The sequence below is a fragment of the Homo sapiens genome, chromosome 12, assembly GCF_000001405.40.
Source record: "Homo sapiens chromosome 12, GRCh38.p14 Primary Assembly".
Lineage (NCBI taxonomy): Eukaryota > Metazoa > Chordata > Mammalia > Primates > Hominidae > Homo > Homo sapiens.
In genome coordinates, this window is record NC_000012.12 from 70085929 (window position 1) to 70091928 (window position 6000).

Genomic DNA, 6000 nt, shown 5'->3' on the forward strand with positions numbered 1-6000 from the left:
TCTTTCTCCTTTCAATCTTGGCGCCACACTTCAATCTCTCACTTCTCTTAATTTCAATTCCTTTCATTTTCTGGTAGAGACAAAAGAGACATGTTTTATCCGTGAACCCAAAACTCCAGCGCCGGTCACGGACTGGGAAGGCAGCCTTCCCTTGGTGTTTAATCATTGCAGGGACGCCTCTCTGATTATACACTCACGTTTCAAGGGTGTCAGACCACGCAGGGACGCCTGCCTTGGTCCTTCAGCCTTAGCGACAAGTCCCGCTTTCCTGGGGCAGGGGCAAGTACCCCTCAACCCCTTCTCCTTCACCCTCAGCGGCAAGTCCCGCTTTCCTGGGGCAGGGGCAAGTACCCCTCAACCCCTTCTCCTTCACCCTCAGCGGCAAGTCCCGCTTTCCTGGGGCAGGGGCAAGTACCCCTCAACCCTTTCTCCTTCACCCTCAGCGGCAAGTCCCGCTTTCCTGGGGCAGGGGCATGTACCCCTCAACCCCTTCTCCTTCACCCTCAGCGGCAAGTCCCGCTTTCCTAGGGGGCAAGAAATCCCCAATCACTTATTTCCACACCCCAACCTCTTATCTCTGAGCCCCAATCCCTTATTTCCGCACCCTGACCTCTTATCTCTGTGCTGCAATCCCTTATTTCCGTGCCCCAACCCCTTCTCTGCTTTTCTGGAGGGCAAGAACCCCCCCGCCCCCATTCTCCGTATCTCTACTCTTTTTTCTGGGCTTGCCTCCTTCACTATGGGTAAGCTTCCACCTTCCATTCCTCCTTCTTCTCCCTTAGCCTGTGTTCTCAAAAACTTAAAACCTCTTCAACTCACACCTGACCTAAAACCTAAATGCCTTATTTTCTTCTGCAATGCCGCTTGACTCCAATACAAGCTCGACAGTAGTTCCAAATAGCCAGAAAATGGCACTTTCAATTTTTCCATCCTGCAAGATCTAAATAATTCTTGTCGTAAAATGGGCAAATGGTCTGAGGTGCCTGAAGTCCAGGCATTCCTTTACACATCAGTCCCTTCCTAGTCTCCGTGCCCAGTGCAACTCATCCCAAATCTTCTTTCTTTCCCTCCCGCCTGTCCCCTCAGTCCCAACCCCAAGCGTCGCTGAGTCTTTCTCATCTTCCTTTTCTACAGACCCATCTGACCTCTCCCATCCTCGCCAGCCCAAGCTAGGTCCCAATTCTTCCTCAGCCTCCGCTCCTGCACCCTGTAATCTTTTTATCGCCTCCCCTTCTCACACCTGGTCAGGCTTACAGTTTCATTCCGTGACTAGCCCTCCCCCACCTGCCCAGCAATTTACTCTTAAAAAGGTGGCTGGAGCCAAAGGCATAGTCAAGGTTAATGCTCCTTTTTCTTTATCCCAAATCAGAAGCGTTTAGGCTCTTTTTCATCAAATATAAAAACCCGGCCCAGTTCATGGCTTGTTCGGCAGCAACCCTGAGACGCTTTACAGCCCTAGACCCTAAAAGGTCAAAAGGCCATCTTATCCTCAATATACATTTTATTACCCAATCTGCTCCCAACATTAAATAAAACTCCAAAAAATTAAATTCCGGCCCTCAAACCCCACAACAGCATTTAATTAACCTCGCCTTCAAGGTGTACAATAATAGAAAAAAGTTGCAATTCCTTGCCTCCACTGTGAGACAAACCCCAGCCACATCTCCAGCACACAAGAACTTCCAAATGCCCGAACCGCAGCGGCCAGGCGTTCCTCCAGAACCTCCTCCCCCAGGAGCTTGCTACGCGTGCCGGAAATCTGGCCACTGGGCCAAGGAATGCCCGCAGCCCGGGATTCCTCCTAAGCCGCGTCCCATCTGTGTGGGACCCCACTGAAAATCAGACTGTTCAACTCACCTGGCAGCCACTCCCAGAGCCCCTGGAACTCTGGCCCAAGGCTCTCTGACTGACTCCTTCCCAGATCTTCTCGGCTTAGCGGCTGAAGACTGACACTGCCCGATCGCCTCGGAAGCCCCCTGGACCATCACGGACGCCGAGCTTCGGGTAACTCTCACAGTGGAAGGTAAGCCCGTCCCCTTCTTAATCAATACGGAGGCTACCCGCTCCACATTACCTTCTTTTCAAGGGCCTGTTTCCCTTGCCTCCATAACTGTTGTGGGTATTGACAGCCAGGCTTCTAAACCTCTTAAAACTCCCCAACTCTGGTGCCAACTTAGACAATACTCTTTTAAGCACTCCTTTTTAGTTATCCCCATCTGCCCAGTTCCCTTATTAGGCCGAGACACTTTAACTAAATTATCTGCTTCCCTGACTATTCCTGGGCTACAGCCACACCTCATTGCTGCCTTTTCCCCCAGTTCAAAGACTCCTTCACATCCTCCCCTTGTATCTCCCCACCTTAGCTCACAAGTATAAGATACCTCTACTCCCTCCTTGGCGACTGATCATGCACCCCTTACCATCTCACTAAAACCTAATCACCCTTACCCTGCTCAATGCCAATATCCCATCCCGCAGCACGCTTTAAAAAGATTAAAGCCTGTTATCACTCACCTGCTACAGCATGGCCTTTTAAAGCCTATAAACTCTCCTTACAATTCCCCCATTTTACCTGTCCTAAAACCAGACAAGCCTTACAAGTTAGTTCAGGATCTGCTCCTTATCAACCAAATTGTTTTGCCTATCCACCCCATGGTGCCAAACCCATATACTCTCCTATCCTCAATACCTCCCTCTACTACCCATTATTCTGTTCTGGATCTCAAACATGCTTTATTTACTATTCCTTTGCACCCTTCATCCCAGCCTCTCTTGCCTTCACTTAGACTGACCCTGACACCCATTAGGCTCAGCAAATTACCTGGGCTGTACTGCCGCAAGTCTTCACAGACAGCCCCTATTATTTCAGTCAAGCCCCAATTTCATCCTCATCTGTTACCTATCTCGGCATAATTCTCATAAAAACACACTTGCTCTCCCTGCTGATCGTGTCTGATTAATCTCCCAAACCTCAATCCCTTACAAAATAACAACTCCTTTCCTTCCTAGGCATGGTTAGCGCGGTCAGAATTCTTACACAAGAGCCAGGACCACACCGTGTAACCTTTCTGTCCAAACAACTTGACCTTACTGTTTTAGCCTAGCCCTCACGTCTGCGTGCAGCGGCTGCCACTGCTTTAATACTGTTAGAGGCCCTAAAAATCACAAACTATGCTCAACTCACTCTCTACAGCTCTCATAATTTCCAAAATCTATTTTCTTCCTCACACCTGACGCATATACTTTCTGCTCCCCGGCTCCTTCAGCTGTACTCACTCTTTGTTGAGTCTCCCGCAATTACCATTGTTCCTGGCCCGGACTTCAATCCGGCCTCCCACATTATTCCGGATACCACACCTGACCCTCATGACTGTATCTCTCTGATCCACCTGATATTCACCCCATTTCCCCATATTTCCTGCTTTCCTGTTCCTCACCCTGATCACGCTTGCCTCGTGCTATCCCCAAACTGCCATTCTTAACTCTTGAAGTAAATAAATAATCTTTGCTGGCAGGGCTATGCTGAATCTCCTTAGGCACTCTCTAATCAGATGTCCTGAGTCGTCTCAATTCTTAGACCTTTTATACCTGTTTTTCTCCTTCTCTTATTCCATTTAGTTTTTCAATTCATACAAAACCATATCCAGGCCATCACCAATAATTCTACACAACAAATGTTTCTTCTAACAACCCCACAATATCACCCCTTACCACAAGACCTCCCTTCAGCTTAATCTCTCCCACTCTAGGTTCCCACGCCGCCCCTAATCCCGCTTGAAGCAGCCCTGAGAAACATCGCCCATTCTCTCTCCTTACCACCCCCCAAAAATTTTCGCCGCTCCAACACTTCAACACTATTTTGTTTTATTTGTCTTATTAATATAAGAAGGCAGGAATGTGAGGCCTCTGAGCCCAGGCCAGGCCATCGCATCCCCTGTGACTTGCACGTATACATCCAGATGGACTGAAGTAACTGAAGATCCACAAAAGAAGTAAAAACAGCCTTAAATGATGACACTCCACCATTGTGATTTGTTCCTGCCCCACCCTAACTGATCAATGTACTTTGTAATCTCCCCCACCCTTAAGAAGGTACTTTGTAGTCTCCCCCACCCTTAAGAAGGTTCTTTGCAATTCTCCCCACCCTTGAGAATGTACTTTGTGAGATCCACCCCTGCCCACCAGAGAACAACCCCCTTTGACTGTAATTTTCCATTACCTTCCCAAATCCTATAAAATGGCCCCACCCCTATCTCCCTTCCTAACTCTCTTTTCGGACTCAGCCCACCTGCACCCAGGTGAAATAAACAGCCATGTTGCTCACACAAAGCCTGTTTGGTGGTCTCTTCACAGGGACGCGCATGAAAACTACAAACACCTCTGTGCAAACAAGCTAGAAAACCTTGAAGAAATGGACAAATTCATGGAAATATTCAGCATCCCAAGATTGAACCAGGTAGAAGTTGAATCCCTGAACAAACCAATAATAAGTTCCAAAATTGAATTCATAATGAAAAGCCTACACTTACTATTTTTTATTATTTTTATTCAATGATGGTGCTGAAACAATTACCTATACATACAGGGGGAAAAAGGAACTTTGACCCTGACCTTATCTACACAAGAATGAACTTGAAATACATGAACAATGTGTAAAGGTGAAACTATTAAAATTCTAAAAGAAAACAAAATATTTATGAGCTGAAAGTACATAAACATTTCTGTTTCACAGTGGGCAGGCCTATGCAAACCTATCCCAAAGTAAAAGGAAGCTGAGAGGCCAAAGAAAGAGACTGATGAATGCAGTTTCTCAGAAAGAAACGTTTAATAGGAACTTATGAACAGAATCCATGTTTGTTTCTCAGGCAGTGGCAAGACAAGATGGTGGATTCCTACACTATAGTTACAGTTTCGCCAATGTACCACAATGTAGCAATCTCTCATTGTCTGAGGTAGTACCCAGAGTCCTTTGTCTCATGACCAAGAAAGTTAAGGAATGCAGGTACCAAGGGTGAGGTTGGAGCAAAAGTTTAGTAAGTGAAAGAAGAAAGCTCTCTGCTGTGGACAGGGTACCTGGAAAAGTGTTGCCATTTTTGCAGTTGAATGTAAAGGCTTTTATAAGAAACCAATGAGGGCCGGGCATCTTATTTGCATAAGGGGTGGATTTCTGGTATTTCCACCCCATCCTCCTAACGAGCATGTGGGCCCTTAGCTTGAGTTACTCCATGTTGCTTTGTTCCCTTTACTGTGCATGTGCCAGGGGACAGAATTTTTCATTGCAGGCATGACTGGGCAAGTCCCCTGTATAGCCTTTCTTATCTGTGTGGCTGTGGGCATGTCTTAGGCAAGCCCCCCTGTGCAAGTTCCCTTATCTGTGCCTGCAGGCTGTTTTTTTGTCTGCAAGAATTCAATCAAGGACCCACCGTAACTGTCTGCCTGACCAGTTTCTTCCTTTCTCCTCTCTCACTATTGTCCCCCACACTCAGGAATTATATACCATAATGAAGGGGCACAGGTGCTTGGGTAGGAATTTCCCCCGGGGCAGGATTTATGGTAAGTACAAGTTTGTCAAGATTGATTTGCTCTACAAGCAGGATTTACATACAGTAAATGCATGATCTTAAACAAGGAACAATAGATAAACTAGAAATCTCAGAGGCATTCCTGGAACAAGGGTTGGTCAGAAGTCAACATGGCGGATTAGCTTTCAAGATGGTGTTGCTTTGGCCTCTGCAATTTCATAAACAGTAGAAAAATAACACTAATTATCAAAGAAAAAAATTCATAAATTAAACTTCATCAATATTAAAACCTTTTGCTCTTTAAAAGATTCCATTAAAAAATTAGACAACTGGAACAGAATAGAGAACCCTAAAATAAAGACACATACAACCAACTGATTTTCAACAAAGCCAATAAAAATAAACAATGAGAAAAGGATATTCAATAAATTGTGCTGGGAAAATTGGCTAACCATATGCAAATGAATGAAACTGGACC

General features: G+C 46.0%; 1 annotated feature.

The window, feature by feature from the left end:
• Positions 4993-5494: an enhancer, noted in NCBI's record as "OCT4 hESC enhancer chr12:70484701-70485202 (GRCh37/hg19 assembly coordinates)". NCBI's record gives its function as "activates a minimal SCP1, AML or CMV promoter by ChIP-STARR-seq in naive and primed H9 embryonic stem cells {active_cell/tissue: H9 hESC(naive and primed)}" and the evidence as "EXISTENCE:reporter gene assay evidence [ECO:0000049][PMID:30033119]".